At 42.7% G+C, this 19,512-nt stretch overlaps 3 protein-coding genes across 4 annotated transcripts in view, besides 3 other annotated features; 1 reads left to right on the top strand and 2 right to left on the bottom strand.

The window, feature by feature from the left end:
• HSPE1-MOB4 (HSPE1-MOB4 readthrough) overlaps positions 1 to 8,752 on the bottom strand; it is a 53,321-nt gene extending 44,569 nt beyond the window's left edge. The window contains exons 1-2 of the mRNA NM_001202485.2: positions 8,692 to 8,752; positions 7,893 to 8,057 (exon numbers count right to left, since the gene is read on the bottom strand). Coding sequence (NP_001189414.1) covers positions 7,893 to 8,057; positions 8,692 to 8,694 — 168 coding nt within the window. The 5' untranslated portion in view covers positions 8,695 to 8,752. The remainder of the gene's footprint in view (positions 1 to 7,892; positions 8,058 to 8,691) is intronic.
• Positions 5,682 to 8,752, bottom strand: HSPE1 (heat shock protein family E (Hsp10) member 1). The gene is made up of 4 exons (NM_002157.3): positions 8,692 to 8,752; positions 7,893 to 8,057; positions 6,003 to 6,092; positions 5,682 to 5,922 (listed from the first exon to the last, which is right to left on the bottom strand). Exons 1-4 carry the CDS (start codon positions 8,692 to 8,694, stop codon positions 5,872 to 5,874), a joined length of 309 nt encoding a protein of 102 aa, NP_002148.1. The 5' UTR covers positions 8,695 to 8,752; the 3' UTR covers positions 5,682 to 5,871.
• Positions 8,632 to 8,691: an enhancer, noted in NCBI's record as "active region_16939". NCBI's record gives its function as "activates an Ori minimal core promoter by ATAC-STARR-seq in GM12878 lymphoblastoid cells {active_cell/tissue: GM12878}" and the evidence as "EXISTENCE:reporter gene assay evidence [ECO:0000049][PMID:35858748]".
• Positions 8,832 to 8,891: a silencer, noted in NCBI's record as "silent region_12214". NCBI's record gives its function as "represses an Ori minimal core promoter by ATAC-STARR-seq in GM12878 lymphoblastoid cells {active_cell/tissue: GM12878}" and the evidence as "EXISTENCE:reporter gene assay evidence [ECO:0000049][PMID:35858748]".
• HSPD1 (heat shock protein family D (Hsp60) member 1) overlaps positions 8,857 to 19,512 on the top strand; it is a 13,691-nt gene continuing 3,035 nt past the window's right edge. Inside the window, exons 1-8 of one of the 2 annotated variants that reach the window (NM_199440.2) lie at positions 8,857 to 8,971; positions 10,281 to 10,456; positions 11,739 to 11,991; positions 13,755 to 13,837; positions 14,379 to 14,474; positions 14,881 to 14,974; positions 15,639 to 15,807; positions 18,835 to 18,934. In NM_199440.2, coding sequence (NP_955472.1) covers positions 10,283 to 10,456; positions 11,739 to 11,991; positions 13,755 to 13,837; positions 14,379 to 14,474; positions 14,881 to 14,974; positions 15,639 to 15,807; positions 18,835 to 18,934 — 969 coding nt within the window. In that variant the 5' untranslated portion in view covers positions 8,857 to 8,971; positions 10,281 to 10,282. Of the gene's footprint in view, positions 8,972 to 9,290; positions 9,350 to 10,280; positions 10,457 to 11,738; positions 11,992 to 13,754; positions 13,838 to 14,378; positions 14,475 to 14,880; positions 14,975 to 15,638; positions 15,808 to 18,834; positions 18,935 to 19,512 lie in introns of those variants that run through there. The other variant, NM_002156.5, reaches the window with a different exon arrangement.
• Positions 9,082 to 9,411: a silencer, noted in NCBI's record as "silent region_12213". NCBI's record gives its function as "represses an Ori minimal core promoter by ATAC-STARR-seq in GM12878 lymphoblastoid cells {active_cell/tissue: GM12878}" and the evidence as "EXISTENCE:reporter gene assay evidence [ECO:0000049][PMID:35858748]".

Here is a 19,512-nt window from a genome sequence, read left to right as displayed (position 1 = left end):
GTGTGGTGGCTCATGCCTATAGTCCCAGGACTTTGAGAGGCTGAGGTGGGTGGATCACTTGAGGTCAGGAGTTCAAGACCAGCCTGACCAACATGGTGAAACCCCATCTCTACTAAAAGTACAAAAAAAATTAGCCAAGTGTGGTGGCACATGCCTGTAATTCCAGCTACTCAGGAGGCTGAGGCAGGAGAATCGCTTGAACCCGGGAGGCGGAGGTTGCAGTGAGTCGAGATCGTGCCATTGCACTCCAGCCTGGGCAACAAGAGCGAAACTCCTTCTAAAAAAAAAAGAAAAGGAAGGGAAGGGAAGGGATTGGATTTAAATACTCGTCACACAAATAAGTCAAAAGTTCAAAACTCCATTTTTGTGTGGGTGCAGTGAAAACAGTAATTAACTTGCTGGAGGAAGCATGACTTGGTATAACACTGAAGAACAAGCTGGCGGCTCATATAGGAACAAAGAACATACTCTCAGGCAGGTGAATAGGTACAGGGAGGACTTGCCTTATCAGATGTCAAACTTAAATATAAAGCTATTTACATTGAAAGCAATGTGATGGAATAGGGAGGTCAATGGAACAAATTATTAAACCCATGAATAGGCATATTTAGAAATTTCGTATATGATAAAGGCAACATCTCTGATTTCTGGGCATAGAGAGAAGGGAGGTCGGGGAGTGGTGTGCAGGGAGAAGAATGGATAATCCAGTAAGTAAAGTTGTGACAACAAGCTACTCATTGATTAAAAAAATAAAGTAGTCCTAGCTTCTCTGGAGGGTGAGGCAGGAATATTGCTTGAGCTCAGGAGAGCAAAAACTGCCTGGAGAGCACAGTGAGACCCCATCTCTGAAAAAAGAAAGTCAGATACATACACCATTCACTAAAAAACAAATTGTGTACCTGTAATTCCAGCACCTTGGGAGGCCAAGCAGGGAGGATCACTTGACTCCAGGAGTTTGAGACCAGTCTCGGCAATATAGTGAAACCCAGTCTCTACAAAAAATACAAAAATTGGCTGGCTGCAGTCACTCACGCCAGTAATCTTAGCTCTTTGGGAGGCCGAGGCAGGAGGATCACCTGAGGTCAGGAGTTCAAGACCAGCCTTGCCAACATGGTGAAACCCCATCCCTACTAAAAATACAAAAATCAGCTGGGCGCAGTGGCGGGTGCCTATAATCCCAGCTATTCAAGAGGCTGAGGCAGTAGAATCACTTGAACCCGGGAGGCAGATGTTGCAGTGAGCCGAGATCGCACCACTGCACTCCAGCCTGGGCGACAGAGTGAGACTCCGTCTCAAAAAAAAAAACAAAAAACAAAAAACAAAAATTAGCAGGGCATGGTGACATGTATGTGTAGTCCCAGTTACTCAGGGGGCTGAGGTGGGAGGATCAATTGAACCTGGGAGGTCAAGGCTGCAGTGAGCCATGATAGCACCACTGCACTCCAGCCTGAGCACTAGAGGAAGACCCTGTCAAAAAATAAAAAATTACCCACGCGTGGTGACACAGGCCTGTACTTCCAGCTACTCTGGAGGCTGAAGTGGGAGGATTGCTTGAGCCCAGGAGTTCGAGGCTGCAGTGAGCTATAATCACACCACTGCTCTTCAGCCAGATAGACAGAATAGGGCTCTGTCTCAAAAAAAAGAAAAATATCCCAGCACTCCGGGAGGCCGAGGCGGCGGATCACGAGGTCAGGAGATCAAGACCATCCTGGCTAACATGGTGAAACCCGTCTCTACTAAAAATACAAAAAAATTAGCCGGGCGTGGTGGCAGGCGCCTGTAGTCCCAGCTACTCAGGAGGCTGAGGCAGGAGAATGGCATTAACCCGGGAGGCGGAGCTTGCAGTGAGCCGAGATCGTGCCACTGTGCTCCAGCCTGGGCAACAGAGTGAGACTCCGTCTCAAAAGAAAAAAAAAAAGAAAAAAAATTATTTCTTTAGCAATTCTGCTAGGCAGGCATCACAATAGGACTGCTTCTGTGGTTCAAAAATTCTCTTATCCTTCTGATTTAGTAGGTTTGGATGAGGCCCTGAAATTTTAAGTTTACCAGGCAATTGCAAAGATGAACCAAGCTTTGTGAACTATTACCTTAGATATCAAAACTAATTTGCTGGGTCTTAGGAAAATAGCATTGGAGAATAATGGGAAAGCCATAGCCTTTGAACAGATTCCTTACTCTACAATATATTAGCCACATGTCCTTGGAACGATTTCTTATCTCTTAAGTCAAGGTTTCTCATTGGTAATACAGAAAAATCTGTGCTCCCAAGATTATGATGAGCAAAGCATATTATCTAGCTGTGCGTGAGTAGAGTATGAAATTGATAATCCACTTAGACAATATAAGAAATAACTTTTAGGCATAATTCCAGTATCGAAGTTTGACAAAAAGTAAGCTTTAGTACACCAAAGGCAGTAACACGTGCATAAACGTAAATATACATATAGTGGAAGTACCTACTACTTTACAGATGGGAAGATGATCAAAAGTTGAGATCATTATTCCATGCCATTTAAAACTTTAAATTTTAATTCCTCTCAAAATAAATACGGGACACAACCTTTAAAAGACATTATCAGACTAGTTTATGGATAATTAAACCTAGAAAATAAGTTTGACTACTAAGACAGCTGGTAGCTGATAGTTGAGTTTAAGGGTTGGTAATCAATTCTAGCGTAGGATTCTTTTTTTTAAAGACAGGGTCTCATTCTGTCACCCAGATTGCAGTGTGGTGGCACAATCTCGGCTCACCAGAGCCTTAACCTCCCCACCTCAGCCCCTTGAGTAGCTTTTTGTATTTTTTGTAAAGACAGGGTTTCACCATATTGCCCAGGCTGTCTCGATCTCAAGAGATCTGCCCACCTCGGCCTCCCAAAGTGCTGGGATTACGAGCACAAGCCACCGCACCCAACCAAATTCTAGTGTAGTATTATTGGGTTTGAATCTTAAGTCTTCTCCCTAGCTGCTACAGCTATATCAAGCTATTTATCCTCTGCTTTGACTCAGTTTTGTTAAATTCAACACATGGTGTACTAGGAACTTAAGTGACATACATCATTTGGTACTACCCATTCCCCATACCACAGTGGGTATCACCAGGATTAATTGAAATAATGTGTATTAAGTGCTTAGAATTAACAAAGTAGCAAAGGCTATAAAGGATCAAGTTTTAAACAGTAACATCTGGAGATGGACTGTGTCTGAATCCTGGCTTTGCCACTTACCACTGAGCAACCTTGGTTATTACTTAACCCCTTCTATGCCTTAGCTTTCTCATCTGCAGGTTGAGAACAGTACCTATCTCATAGGGTTGTTGAAAGATTAAACCAATTAATACATGAAAAGCACCTTCAACAGTAACCAGCACCTAGAAAATGCTCCGGTTAGCTATCCTATCACACAGTGCTCACCCCAGAGAGAAGGCACTCAGCCAATGTTAGCTATCATATATATATATATATATATATATATATATATATACACACACACACACACACACACACACACACACACACACGTATATACATGTGTGTATATATCACATATATCATATATGTATATGTATCATATATATACTTTTTTTTTTTCAAAACAGTCTATGTCACCCAGGTTGGAGTGCAGTGGTGCAATCTTAGCTCACTACAACCTCCGCCTCCCAGGTTCAAGCCATTCTCCTGCCTCAGCCTTCCAAGTAGCTGCAATTACTTGCCTTAGATTTTTTTTTTAACCAAATTATGTAGCAGTGTTAAGTTTTTAAAAATGAAATGAGCCGGGCGCGGTGGCTCACGCCTGTAATCCCAGCACTTTGGAAGGCCAAGGCAGGTGGATCATGAGGTCAGAAGATCGAGACCATCCTAACATGGCGAAACCCCGTCTCTACTAAAAATACAAAAAATTAGCAGGGCATGGTGGCAGGCGCCTGTAGCCCAGCTACTTGGGAGGCTGAGGCACGAGAATTGCTTGAACCCGGGAAGCGGAGATTGCAGTGAGCCAAGATCATGCCACTGCACTCCAGCCTGGGCAACAGAGAAACTGTCTCAAAAAAAAAAAAAATGTTCACTCCAGAATTAAATTTTCCTAAAATAAAACAAGACATAAAAAAACACTTGGAGGATACCAGAGCAACTCCAGTATTGCTAAGTGGCCTTAGATACTTGGTCACTGGATGCTGGGCAGCTTCAGGTGAAGATGGTGGTCACTGAGGCTCAGGTAACCATGGAGAGCTTCTCAGCACTGTTCTTTCCAATGCAATACAAAACAAAGCTTAAAAGACGCAATGTATCTGGGAAGTTAATTGGGGTGAAACTATGGATTACAGCTGAGCCAAGGGAAAAATGTACCACAGCTGAGCGGGGTGACCCTGGTGCGCTCACTGCTTTGTCATTGCTGCTGGCCGCCAAGGACGATCACCCCTCAAGGACTATGTGATGCCTTTTTCACGTTGTCTTTCAGAAACTTGATAGGACATCATATGCCTGATATTAAATGCCAGTATCAGGTTAGAAACTACACTGAAGTCTTCCTGTTTCTCATCTCAACTACATTGAGGTCACACTGACTAGGTGAGCATGTGGCTGTTTTCCAACTCTGACAAACTAGTGTCAAATAGAAAAGCATAAATATAACCCATCACCATTAAAAAAAAAAAATAAGGTAATGTCCTAACTTTAATGTACAGAAGTTGATTTTCCGAAATATTGACCAACTCTTAAAGTTCTAAAAAATAAAAAAAGCTGCCAGGTATGGTGGCTCACTCAGGCCTGTGATCCCAGCAGTCTGGGAGGCCAAGGCAGGCATATTGCTTGAGCCCAGAAGGTTCAAGACCAGCCTGGACAACATGGCAAAACCCCATCTCTACAAAAGATACAAAAATTAGCAGGGCATGGTGGTGCATGCCTGTAATCCCAGTCACTCAAGGAGGCGGACGTGGGAGGATCACCTGTGCCTGGGAAGAAGGTGGAGGCTACAGTGAGCCATGACAGTGCCAGTGCACTCCAACCTGGGTGACAAAGTGAGACTGTCTCCACAAAAAAAAAAAAAGAAAAAAATGGAAAGTATAATTCTTCCCTCAATTTACATGGTACTTGTGTACCTGGGAATTCAGTATACATTAAACCATGCAAAAAATGCTCTGTATTTATATAAATTGGAGTTAGGAATGAAGACCTGTATCCACAAAGTATTGAACACCTTAAGACCTGTAACTCGTTAGCTTGTTATATTTGAAATCTGAATGTTGCTGTGGTGGCTCACGCTTGTAATCCCAGCACTTTGGGAGTCTGAGACTAGCCTGGGCAACATGGCAAAACCTGTCTCTACTAAAAACACAAAAATTAGCTGGGCATGGTGGTGCACGCCTGTAATCCCAGGTACTCTGGAGGCTGAGGGAGGAGAATCACTTGAACCCAGAAGGCGGAGGTTGCAGTAAGCCAAGATTGAACCACTGCACTCCAGCCTGGGTGACAGAGTGAGAATCCGTCTCAGAAAAAAAAAAAAAAAAAGTAAATCCATGGCTTGGTATCAGTATCAATCATGTATTAATAAAGCTAAATTCAGTGTGAAAATGCACCTACGTAGAAAATCCTGTTTCCCAAAATTCTCTGCAGGTTACTTGAAAAACAGAAAAAAAGCATAAACTAGAAAACCCTAAAATCATCTTAAAATAACTAAAGATTAACCACTCATTTACATATTTTTATTTGGAAGTGTTTATATCAGTACAAGGAAACAATTTTGGAGACACTGGATGTCATTAGTTATCATTAGTTTATTATAAAAGAGAAATATGGAAATTATTTACATGACGAAAGATTTCAGAACTTCAGTGGAATGGGCAGCATCATGTTGATGCCATTTCAATAGTGACTTATTTCAGTCTACGTACTTTCCAAGAATGTCACCATCTCTAAATAGGAAATAATCCTGCAAGTGAAAAAAACCATTAGTTAAGACAACTAATTGCAAATATCTGACTTCTTTTTAGAATTATTAAGTTTACACACCTTGTCATCTAGAACTACTTTGGTGCCTCCATATTCTGGGAGAAGAACTTTATCTCCAACTTTCACGCTAACTGGTTGAATCTCTCCACCCTTAAAAAAGGAAGGATGTTTATTAGCAAAGATATCTAGTTCACCCAACATAAACAGTTAACTTTTAAATCACTACAACTAATGAAACATGGTCACTCAAATCCAATTATATTAAAAATATATTTCGTGGCTAAGTGATACGACTCATACTAGAATTACAGATCTTCACTCAAAAATACCACTGTAGTTACACTTTGAAATAATACACAGTGGCTTAAACTAAAACCTGACTCCAACGTAAAAGTTCAAGAAAATATTCTGGAAAAGCTAACTTTAGTTAACTAAAGCTAACTTTATAACTGTTAAATATTAACATAACTTATCAACTATATGAAATAAACCTGCAACAGTAGCCAGCACCCAGAAAATGCCATATACAAATGGTCATATTTTCCTTCTTTCAACATACAAAAATTTAAAGTTTTTTTGGATTTAGAACATACTCTTGTGATTGTTTTGTTCCCTCCAAAGAACAGATTTGGGGAAAGGGACTGCAGCTAAGTGTCCACTCCCCAAAGTCTTCCTATTCCTAACTCCATGACAGCTCCTCAGTAGAGCTTTCCTCCTCAGAAGCAACTAGAACAATGCAGTTAACATTATTTGGCCCCAACGGCGTTTACTGTGTATTTTGGCTGAGATCTTTAGAAGCCCGAGGCCTAAACAATTAACTGAGGAACATCTAAAACAGAGGTGTGCAATCTTTTGGCTTCCCTGGGCCACACTGGAAGAACTGTGTTGGGCCACACATAAAATACACTAACATTAGCAGTAGCTGGTAAGCTTAAAAAAAATTGCAAAAGAAATATCAGGTTTTAAGAAAGTTTAGGGATTTGCGTTAGGCGGCATTCAGAGCTGTCCCAGGCTGCAGATTGGACAAGACTGACCAACCTGTTCCTCTGGTAGGTATACAACCAGGTATACCAACTGGTTAAGATTAGGGCAATTTCAATGTGTTAGGGGTTAAACGAACAGTCCAAGTTTCCTCTCAATTCTTAAATGCCCCCTCATTTTACCTTGAAGCACATCTTTTGTATTTATTTATTTTGTAGACAGGAGGTCTCATTATGTTGCCCAGACTGATTTTGAACTCCTGATTTTGAATCCTGAGCTCAAACGATCCTCCTGCTTTGGCCTCCCAAAATGCAAGGATTACAGGTGTGAGCCACCACGCACAGCCTCTTTTGTCTTATTAAAAATTTAGAATGTAAGGCAAACACTGATCACACTAGGCTACCAAATTGCTATTGAGGGGATTTTTTTTTTTTTTTTTTGAGACAGAATCTCGCCCTGTCCCCCATACTGGAATGCAGGGGCGCCTTGCAACCTCGGCTCCTTGCAACCTCCGCCTCCAGGGTTCAAATGATTCTCCTGCCTCAGCCTCCCCAGTAGCTGGGATTACAGGCGCATGCCACCACACCCGGCTAATTTTTGTATCTTTAGTAGAGACGGGGTTTCACCATGTTGGTCAGGCTGGTCTTGAACTCCTGACCTTGTGATCCGCACACCTCGGCCTCCCAAAGTGCTGAGATTACAGGCGAGAGCCACCGCACCCGGCCTATTGAGGACAATTTTTAATACTCTGAAACTATCACATAAAATAAGCATCATAGCATTGGTCATATAAAATAAGCAACTTTATATTAGTCATTTCCCTTTAAGAAACAGATTAGAACCAAAGCAGTTAATGATCTTGAAAACGACATAAACTCTACTTAATAAGCGACTTTTAATACTCCAGAATTACTTCTTTTCCCTCCACTGCACACTATAAAAAATAGTTCCACTGCAGCTCCCATTTACCTTTCCTTTAGAACCCGATCCAACAGCGACTACTGTTGCTTGCAATACTTTTCCTTGAGATTTTTCTGGAAGCATAATGCCTCCTTTGGTTACAGTTTCAGCAGCACTCCTTTCAACCAATACTCGGTCAAAGAGTGGAAGAAACTTTCTAAACGCTTGTCCTGCCTGTAGGAAGAGAAATGTTTTGAAACAAAAACTAAATGTAATCACATTATCAACAGGCAACGCCACCGTGCTATACATCTCAACACGTTTTGGCTTTGAAAGTTAACACCAAACCTCAGCTTATTCGTTAAGGAAGCGCATTTGAATGTACTAACCAATATTCCAAGTTTAATTCCCGATTCCTTACGTCTGTTAGGGGTCGTTGTCGCTCCTCCGGTGAGCAACCAGACCAGCTTTAAGGTCAACCTTAGTTTATTCCAAGGTCAAATGTTTTCCTTCTTCAGGTTTTTCCAGAAATTTTCAGGAAACGCTGGGTCAAGCTCCCTGCCTGGCACCATGATTTTTACCCAAGATATTACACATCCACAAAGGCCCTGCAGAAGCAGGTGAGACGCTGCGCGTGCGCCCGGGTTCTCGCCCCCCTGCCTTACACACCGGCAGCACACGCGCGTGCAAAGAGCCCTGGGGGAGAAAAGGGTCGGGCGGGCCTTGCCGCTCCAAGGTGCCATCGGGCGCTGGTCACTGAGTGGCCACCAATCCCTCCCGCCCAGCCCAACAAAAGAGGGGCGTCAGGGATCCCCGTACGCCTCAGACAGGCCCGGGCCTGCAGGCCTCGGGGCCACGCGGGACTCACCATTACTCCCTCCGCCTCAGACTCGTACTCTGCTCTAGTGTAGCGCCGCAAAGAGACTCGCAGTCCGGCCCTGGCGACACGTGAAAAAATCACCCAGCGCGCAGGCGCGCTCGCCCCAGCGGTCGCCGCTAGCCCCCTCGCCCCTCCCAGGGAGGGAGGGCGGTCGCCCCGACGCGCACCGCGATTCGCCCCAAGGGCCCTGCGCAGGACGCTGACGCGAAGACTCGGAGGCGGAAGAAAAAAGGAGCTGTTTCTAGGCTTTTCTAGGCGCCCAGCCGAGGTGAAAGAACTACCCCTTCGTCCCCTCCCGGAAATGACGCGATTTGACCCTTGAGCCGTAGGGAGCGCGGCATTTTCTGGAAAGTTCTGGAACCGAGCGAGGCCCGGGAACTAGACTAAGCCGGCCGGAGAGGGCTGAGCGCGCTAGCACACCCTGCGCGGGTAGGGAGGGGCGGGGCTCGCGCGCAGGGTGTGCAGATTGCAGGGCCCGGGCTGACGGGAAGTGGGTGGGAGCTGCCTGCACACGCGGTGCCGCGGGGCGGGAGTAGAGGCGGAGGGAGGGGACACGGGCTCATTGCGGTGTGCGCCCTGCACTCTGTCCCTCACTCGCCGCCGACGACCTGTCTCGCCGAGCGCACGCCTTGCCGCCGCCCCGCAGGTACGCGGCCTTCCCGCACCACCTCCCCCCGGCTCCTGCGACCCCCGAGTGGGCCTTCCTCCTCTGCGGTCCAGCTGGAGGGTGCGGGCGGCGACAACCTGGAGTTCCGCACCGCGCCGCACCGCAGGCCCAGGCCTGCGGGTCCAGGCCTCGCGGGTCCATGCGGGTTCCATCACGTGCGACGCGGATCCTGGACCTCGGCTGGGCGCGGGAGGGACAACTCGTGGGGTTTGAATTTGGGGGATTGTAACCACTTAGGCCCGCTGGTGCAACCTGCGCCTGGCCGACTTCAGGGAACCGGGGAGGGTGGTGTACGTGAGGGAACCGCTTTTTTCCCCCGCAGGCAGCTGGGATACCGCGCCTCCAGTCTTGACCTTGCTGGGGGCGTTCGGAAAGAAGGACACGTGGGCTCGCGCCGAGTGGGCCGGGCCGCCGCCCCCAGCATCGCGGCCTTGCTGGTTGCTCTGATACAGTAGCCTTGGGTGGATCCATGGAGACACTTTGCTGAGCGGCTTTTTGCACCGTCAGGAATACTTTTAACTTCCCTGGTCACTTGGATTTGTAACTTGCCTCTCTCCGGCTGACTTGGTTTCTCAGGGGCCACAGTTGGAGTGGGTCTGCCCACAAGGCCGTTTTCGCGGTGAAAGATTAACTCGTTTTTGGCGGCAGGGATAGGTGGCCGTGGGGAAGGAGCCGCATGTGCTTTGTGCTGGTGCTATAGGTCAGGCGCCGGCCGGGGCGGCCTCTTTAGCTTGCGCTAGTGGCTGATGTTCCGAAGCTGCGGCGCCTTCCGTCATTCAGGCGTAGTGGCTGGCGGAGGTCAGCCAGGCTCAGCATCTCACGTTGCTTGCTCTGTTGCACAGGTGGGCATGTTTGTTCTGCAGCGCACCACGGGTGGTAGTTCTGATGATCTTTTTGCTTCCATCCCCAGAAATGCTTCGGTTACCCACAGTCTTTCGCCAGATGAGACCGGTGTCCAGGGTACTGGCTCCTCATCTCACTCGGGCTTATGCCAAAGATGTAAAATTTGGTGCAGATGCCCGAGCCTTAATGCTTCAAGGTGTAGACCTTTTAGCCGATGCTGTGGCCGTTACAATGGGGCCAAAGGTACCAGTATTTTTATTTTATTGTAATTACGGTATTATTAATAGCATTTTACTCACAAATAGTCGCACTGAACTATTCAACAGTACTTTCATCTCCATTTTTGAGAGAACTCAGTTTACATGTAAGAATTCTGAAGTATTGGTTAGCCTTTTTTTCTTAGACATGATCTTAAAGCTTAAACTGCTTCAGCCAGATTTTCGAAACTATTTTGTTCAATGTGTGATGTAATCAGGTAGTAACTTACAGCTCAAGGTGGATTCTTAAACTCGAGGTAGAATTTCGCTGGCTTAAGTTAAAATTTGGATCCTTTCCCAGTAGTTCATGCCAAGTGTAGAGAGAAGAGTTTAACTTATCTTCCATAATTCCTTAGGTATGTGCTTGTAGATGCTAAATTTTTTTTTGGTTTATTGTAGTAAAATGTACACAACATAAAATTACCATTAAGTGTGCACTTTGGGGACATCAATTACATTTATGTTGTGCAGTCATCACCACCATCCATCTCCAAAACTTTTTATATGGAAAAATTGTAACTTTGTACTCATTAGACAGTAGCTTCCCATTCTCTCCTCCACCCCAAGATGCTAGTTTTACCCATCGGTTTTCTGCTGTTCTCTTGTTCCAAAGCATATTTAAAATAAGTCTCATTTAATAGGGGTAATGTTTTGAGGAGGCCTTTGAAGGTGGTGTGCAGTCAAGTGGTGCTTCATTTCAGTTTGAAGACAGTTCAGATATCAAGTGATCCAACAACTGCCTAAAATACAACATTTGCACACCTCACAAATAGAAAGTAGCAGCTTTAGTTCAAATCCAAAGGATGGCCAATAATTGTGCCATGGTTGAAGTTTTATGTTGCGTGAACCTGGAAGAGCACGCTACTTGCCTTGATGGTTAATATTTTAGTTAAACGGATTTTAAAACAAGTCACATTACTTTAAAAGATAACAGGCACTAACTAAAGTATAAGTGATAGGAAGATTGTTTTATTCTTTGTCTTGTGTTCTTGTTCATTTTATAAGATGACAAGTTTTAGTCCCTAGGATTTTAATCTCCTAAATTACCTAGTTCAAAATTATGCTCTTGGCAGAGAATCAGGTCATTTTGTCTGTAGACAAAGAATGTCGATAAACTTGCCCTTGAGGTTCATGCTGCAAGACTGATAAAAATGACACAACTTACGTTGAGACTTTGAAGTAGTTGCTTTATTATGAAGACTGCTCATTTTTAAAAATGTAAATCATCCTTAGGGTATGTCTGATCCTGTTACATTTTTTTCTTCTAGGGAAGAACAGTGATTATTGAGCAGAGTTGGGGAAGTCCCAAAGTAACAAAAGATGGTGTGACTGTTGCAAAGTCAATTGACTTAAAAGATAAATACAAAAACATTGGAGCTAAACTTGTTCAAGATGTTGCCAATAACACAAATGAAGAAGCTGGGGATGGCACTACCACTGCTACTGTACTGGCACGCTCTATAGCCAAGGAAGGCTTCGAGAAGATTAGCAAAGGTGCTAATCCAGTGGAAATCAGGAGAGGTAGGAATGTCTGTTGTCACCACAGTGTTCTAAACTTCAGTGTGCTTTAAGGCATTGATTCCTTGGACCTAAGGAAAGTGTTAACTTGAGGAAATTAATCCTTCTCTCATTCCTCCTCTTGGCCTGGAGAAATCTTAAACTGGGTTTTCCTTTAGCAAGCTTGGCTGTATGGTGGGTAGGTACTGTTAGGTAATTTTGATATTTTACTTAGTTGGTTTCTTTTGTTTTTAGAGACAGGGTCTTGCTCTGTAGCCCAGGCTGGACTGCACTGGAACTCCTGGGCTCAAGCAATCCTCCTGCCTCAGCCTCCAAGTAGCTGGGACTACTACAGGCACTCACCACCATTCCTGGCTAATTTTTAGTTTAGTTTTGTAGAAAGTAAGACTAAATACACTGGATCATTCAGAATGTCAGAAAGTAATGTTTTCCTCAGTTTATTTTTTCTTAATAGCACACACCATGTTATTGGTTTGTGTTTTGTTAGTGCTTGTAACTAGAGTGCAACTTAATTAACAATTTGCTCCTCCTCATGAGGTTCATGGCAGTATAGACTTAAATTCTAGTCCCATGTTTGTCATTTATTAGCTGTGTGCTAAGACTTGGTTTTCCTATCAGCAGAATTGCTATGTATATCTAGGGTATGTTAGGGTTCAAACCAGGAACCCTCTTGTAAGTGAAGGTGGGGGGAGCTATTGGTAATTTTTTGTCAGAATTGGCATACTAATTTATTACTACATTACTAATGTATCATTACCTCATCTATTTCAGTGTTTATGGGCCAAGTGAATATACTTCACTAAAAGCAGTTTTACTGTAAATCACTAACAAGTATTAATTAAGGTTATGAAGAGGACTTACCAGCACCTTGCATTGGATTTTTTTTGAAGTAACAGTTCTCAAACAAGAGAGCTAGCACTATTCCCAATTGAGCAAAATGGGACTATTAAGACTGATGTAAAACAAAAATATTTTGTTAGTTCATAATACGTACTAAATTGAGGGGATTTCAGATAATTGACACCTGCAGAGGCATAGTCACAACAGATTCCTATCATTTAAGAACTGTACTTCTTGTTGAAAATAAGGGAGTGTTAGCCATTTTGGTCCTTTTTTGCATCATCTAATGGACATGAGAAGTGTCGTGGACCCTATTGGAAACAGCATGATTGGGTTAGGAATTTGCATAGGATGAGTTCAGTGGTGAGACTTTTGAAACTACACACATCTACCTTGTTTTAGTCCTATTTTCAAAATTTTGGCATTGTGAGATTTTATTTACTGTGTGAACCTAAAGTTACTGTTTAAGTACATGCCACGCAACTCTGTGTTATTAAGAAGCACTGTCTCAGAAGCTGTGTGTAAATTTAATATTAAGGCACTAAAGACCAAGCATAGGTACATGCCTGTAGTCCCAGCTACATGGGAAGCTGAGGTGGGAGGATTGCTTGAGCCCAGGAGTTCAAGACCACCTTGGGCAACATAGTGAGACCTTGTCTACAAAAATAAAAGAAGCTGAGCATGGTGGCTTGAGCCTGTGGTCTCAGCTACTCCCTTGAGCCCAGGATGTCAGGGCTGCAGTGAGCCATGATCTGTGCTACTGCACTCTAGCCTGGGCAGCAGAACAAGACCCTGTCTCAAAAAAAAAAAAAATTTTTTTTTTTAAGTTAAGGCATTAAAATATTTGTCACAAATCTCAAGATTTCTACTTGACATAGAAGCCATGAGAGAAATAAACATTGTAATGACATATATCGTTGAACTAGGTGTGATGTTAGCTGTTGATGCTGTAATTGCTGAACTTAAAAAGCAGTCTAAACCTGTGACCACCCCTGAAGAAATTGCACAGGTAAGGACTTAACATGTTACACGTTTTTTAAAAAAAATTTAATGGCATGTGTGATTTTTTTTTTCCCTTGATCACACCAATGTCAGAATAACAATACTACCCAATCATCAATATTAGAATCATTGTTTCTTACTGCTAAAACCTTTGAAAAGAATTATGACCATAATGGTTGTCATTTAGTTCTACATGTGGTTGTCATTTTAGTTCTACATGGCTGTAAAATGGATTCATATGATTGTGAAAATGTTCTTAGCCATTGTCAAAGGTGCATAAGTTTTGTCAGTTTGTAATGAAGTCAGCATTTTTAAACTTTTTGTTACAAGAATAGTTTTATGTATCATATTCTTCAAAACAATGTAGTCAAATAATGAATCGGAAAAGAGCAAAGAACCAGTACTTCATGAAAACTACCATAACGTAAATTCCCCTTCTCTCCCCTGGATGGAAGTATCAATTTGGAAGTTACTAGGAAAAGGTAAGGGAACTGACTGAGGACACTAGGCTTACCTTTTAATTTCGAAGAGTAACTGGATTATTTCAGGTTGCTACGATTTCTGCAAACGGAGACAAAGAAATTGGCAATATCATCTCTGATGCAATGAAAAAAGTTGGAAGAAAGGGTGTCATCACAGTAAAGGCAAGTGTGTTTGTATTTTTAAAGATAATTTTGAGTTATCTTATGATCAAAAGTTTGAGTTATCTGATGATCAAAACTGAATTTTTCAAACAGAAAAATTCTGTTTTAAAAACTGCTTTTTTTATTCCTTCATATGTAGTCTCAGCACATGTATAGAATAAAGTACTTACTGTGTTTTATGTGAATTAGCCTTTGCTGCATGAAATGAATCCATCCTAACTTAAATGATTATTCAAATAAGCACTTTTGGGATTTTTTGCAGAAGTGTAATTGGATGTCCTGGGCTGTTTCATACTCTACCCTGCATCTCTTATGGCCAGAGGGGTCTGTTTTTATTAATCTGGCCTGTAATTCCATGTTTTGTGTTCAATGAAATCCATATACCTAATTCTTTGACTTTTCATAGGATGGAAAAACACTGAATGATGAATTAGAAATTATTGAAGGCATGAAGTTTGATCGAGGCTATATTTCTCCATACTTTATTAATACATCAAAAGGTAAGAACAAATCAATAACTGAATTATTATTATTTTTATTATTTTAGACAGAGTCTCATTCTCTGTTGCCCCGGCTGGAGTGCAGTGGCATGATGTGGTGGCGCGTTGCTCACTGCAACCTCCGCCTTCCGGGTTCAAGTGATTCTCTTGCCTCAGTCTCCCAAGTAGCTGGGATTACAGTCACACGCCACCATGCCAGGCTGATTTTTGTATTTTTAGTAGAGATGGGGTTTCACCATGTTGGCCAGGCTGGTCTCTTAACTCCTGACCTCAGGTGATCCACCCACCTTGGCCTCCCAAAGTGCTGGGATTATAGGTATGAGGCTCTGTGCCTGGCCAATTTTTGAATTTTTTAATAGAGACAAGGTTTAGCCATGTTGGCCAGGCTGGTTTTGAATTCCTGGCCTCAAGTCATCTGCCTGCTTTGGCCTCCTGAAGTTTTTAAAATATACTTTCTAATATGTGTCAAACTATAGGTATTAGTTGGTGTCATCCTCTAAAAAATAAATGTATATATTCCAAAAGTTAATGCATATGAGAAATGAAGGAGGAAAACCAACTCACTGGTGAATTTTAAAGTGTATTGGAACCTTGGTTTCGCTTTTCATTTAAATGTATTGCAGTCATTTTTTGTATATTTTTGAAATCTTCATTATTTTTACAGGTCAGAAATGTGAATTCCAGGATGCCTATGTTCTGTTGAGTGAAAAGAAAATTTCTAGTATCCAGTCCATTGTACCTGCTCTTGAAATTGCCAATGCTCACCGTAAGCCTTTGGTCATAATCGCTGAAGATGTTGATGGAGAAGCTCTAAGTACACTCGTCTTGAATAGGTAATAAGCAGTGGTATTTGTTGATTTATATTTCTCGGTGAAAGACAGAATTATTTGTATTGCTGTTTGCAGTTTCCATCATGTGTACCTCCACATTTGATCCAGTTGGGTTTGTATCTAGAATTGTAATTGTGTAAATCAGGTGTGCTCTAATGTATCCTTATGGTTGTGTTTTTGAAGGAACCCCAAAGTCTTTACTATTTTGATCAGCTTTCTCATAGAATAGACTAATTTAGCACATGGGTACCTTTCTGTATTTTGCAAGTGTTTACAGTTGTTTTGAAGGCACATGACTGAATCTTGTATTTTTTTTTTTTGAGACAGAGTCTCACTCCCTGGCCCAGGCTGGAGTGCAGTGGCATAATCTTGGCTCACTGCAATCTCCATCTCCTAGGTTCAAACAGTTCTGCCTCAGCCTCCCAAGCAGCTGGGACTACAGGTGCGTGCCACCACACCTGACTAATTTTTGTATTTTTAGTAGAGACAGGGTTTCACCATATTGGCCAGGCTGGTCTCAAACTCCTGACCTCGTGATCCGCCCGCCTCAGCCTCCCAAAGTGCTGGGATTACAGGTGTGAGCCACTGCGCCCGGCCTTGTAATTTTTTTATTTTTTATTTTTATTTTTGGAGACAGAGTCTCTGTCACCCAGGCTGGAGTGCAGTAGTGCAGTGGCTCAATCTCAGCTCAAGCCTCCGGGGTTCAAGTGTCAATCTTGTTTTTTGTTTTGTTTTGTTTTGTTTTTTTAAGGTTTTTCTGGTTAAAAATATGTAAATTTTCAGAATATTATTTTGCATAGAACAGGGAAGTAAACAACTAACTTCCAAATAACTCAGAGCCAGGCATGGTGGCTCACAGCTATAATCCCAGCACTTGGGGAGGCACAGGCGGGTGGATCACCTGAGATCAGGAGTTCCAGACCAGCCTGGCCAACATAGTGAAACCCCGTCTCTACTAAAAATATAAAAATTAGCAGAGCATGGTGGCGTGTGCCTGTAATCCCAGCTACTCAGAGGCTGAGGCAGGAGAATCACTTGAATCTGGGAGGCGGAAGTTGCAGTGATCCGAGATTGTGCTGCTGCACCCCAGCCTGGGCAACAAAGCGAGACTCTGTCTCTAAATAAATAACTCAGATGTAAGTGTATTTCACCATCGAATATTTTTATTTATTTTGAGAGACAGACTCTGTCACCCAGGCTGGCCTGCGGCGGCACGATCATAGCTCACTGCAGCCTTGAACTCTTGGGGTCAAGCAATCCTCCTGCCTCAGCCTCCCAAGTAGCTGGGACTACACACTTGCACAAGCACACTTGGCTGATCTTTTAATTTTTTTGTAGAGACGAGGTCTCAATATGTTGCCTCAATATGTTGCCTAGGCTAGTCTTAAACTGTTGGTGAATCTTAAGTGATTCTCCCACCTCAGCCTCCCAAAGTGCTGGGATTACAGGCATGAGCCACTACCCTTGGCTGTGATCAAGTATTTAGTCTGTTGTTAAATGTTTACTAAATAGTCTGAAGTAGAGAAAATAGCACCCAATCTAAAATAAGGTGAGGTCTAGTCACTTATTTAAATCTACATTTTAAGCTATAGTTTACTATTAGTTTAAACTTTAAGACAGGTAATGTTCATGCTGCAGACAATCTAAGGGCATTATTAAAATGTTTGTTCTTCCTTATCTCAGAATTGAAGTATGTCAGAAGCAAGACTTTTCTTTCCATTTTGTTATAGTAGAAATGCATACATTAACAGGTACGTTTTAGACATTACACGTGCTCATCTGACCCAAAAGCTCTAATGAGCTGCCTTACCCTGGAATGTTTTTCTTAGCTTGGATTTGCTTTTTTGGAGGGATTAAGAAAAGACTTGGCTGGGCGTGGTGACTCATGCCTGTAATCCCAGCAGTTTGGGAAGCCGAGGCGGGTGGATCATGAGGTCAGGAGATGGAGACCATCCTGGCTAATACGGTGAAACCCCGTCTCTACTAAAAATACAAAAAATTAGCTGGGCGTGGTGGCGGGCTGAGGCAGGAGAATGGCGTAAACCCAGGAGGCGGAGGTTGCAGTGAGCCGAGATCTCGCCACTGCACTCCAGCCTGGGCGACAGAGCAAGACTCTGTCTCAAAAAAAAAAAAAAACACACAAAAAAAAGACTTGAGGCCAGAAAAAAACAAGCCTACAGAGTTTTCATTAAGCCATTTTACTGCTAGTTGAAAAGTGGGATATCCAGTTTACATAGCATATAGCTTATTCCTCTGATTTTTATTTGGGTCCTTAATAAAATAGACCAGCTGTCTTGAAGTTTGAACGTTGCTTCTGTTTCACAATCTGCTCTCAAATGGACATTTGATTACACATTCCAAGTATTCATTTACCTGGTAAAAATTTCAGGTGAGCTTAACAATACTGTCAGCTTTTTGTATAACATTTATAAAAGAAGTGAATTCAGAACATTGCTCATTCAAAACTCAGCATTAATATATGGAGATGTTTATTAAATGACCCTCAAATGTAATATTTAGTAATTACTGTTTTTCTACCATTCATAATAGTTATCACTGTATCCTATAACTTACTGTGATGTGATTTTTGCTGCTCGGCCTCCTGAGTAGTGGGGATTACAGGTGCCTGCTACCACATTTGGCTGATTTTTGTTATTTTCAGTAGAGACAGGGTTTCACCATCTTGGCCAGGCTGGTCTCGAACTCCTGACCTCGTGATCCACCTGCCTGGGCCTTGCAAAGTGCCGGGATTACAGGCCTGAGTCACCACGCCCGGCCAGGCCAACAGTTTATTAAGAAGGTAAACGGATATGGACAAGTATAATTAATAGAAAATAGCCTAAACTGTCTCAGATACTTCCTGTCTTAATTTGATCAAAAATTGCTAGGAAGCAAAAAAAAAACAAAAAAACACAAAAACCAAACCAGATTACTTAGGGAGTCCTAAGTAATCTAGTAACAGCTTGAGGGGAATTAAACAGATAGGCATTTTTATTTCATTTAAATCTTACTATCAACTATTCTTAACAGGCTAAAGGTTGGTCTTCAGGTTGTGGCAGTCAAGGCTCCAGGGTTTGGTGACAATAGAAAGAACCAGCTTAAAGATATGGCTATTGCTACTGGTGGTGCAGTAAGTAAAATAAATGTGATAATGGTTTGCTGAATGTTTATACTTGTCTGGAATTTATAGATAGTTTAACATTTCACAATTAGATACTACAACTATCTGTTTCTTTTGGCTCTTTGGAAGGTAGGGGTTGGATTAAATTCCCGTTAATTTGCCACAAGTCTGGCCTAAGAATGAGCTTACTGACTATTCTATATTGACTAAATCTTATTGACTGAATAAGGGGGTTTCCTTTTTTTTGTTTTTTTTGGAGACAGTGTCTTGATCTGTCTTGACTATTCTTGACTTGATCTATATTGACTATTCTTATTGACTTAAATCTGTGGGGTTTCTTTTTTTTTTTGAGACAGGGTGTCTTGATCTGTCACCCAGGCTGGAATGCAGTGGCACGATCTTGGCTTACTGCAACCTCCACCTTCTGGGTTCAAGCAATCCTCCCGTCTCAGCCTCCCAAGTAGCTGGGACTACAGGTGCAGTACCATGCCCAGCTAATTTTTTTACTTTTAGTAATGACGGGTCTCACTGTATTGCCTAGGCTTCTCAAACTTCTGGACTCAAGCAATATGCCTGCCTCCGCCTCC

This window comes from Homo sapiens, chromosome 2, assembly GCF_000001405.40.
Source record: "Homo sapiens chromosome 2, GRCh38.p14 Primary Assembly".
NCBI lineage: Eukaryota > Metazoa > Chordata > Mammalia > Primates > Hominidae > Homo > Homo sapiens.
Note: the sequence above shows the minus strand (reverse complement) of the source record. Positions and strands in the feature narration are given on the sequence as shown.

Bases quoted from the DNA above. Each gene is read 5' to 3' on its own strand.
- HSPE1 (NM_002157.3), bottom strand. The intron at 6,093-7,892 runs GTAAATGGGAGC...TCCTTTTTTAAG, and splicing joins GATCGGGTTCTAAAGGAAAG to GGTGGAGAGATTCAACCAGT. The intron at 5,923-6,002 runs GTGTGTAAACTT...TTTCACTTGCAG, and splicing joins AAGTAGTTCTAGATGACAAG to GATTATTTCCTATTTAGAGA.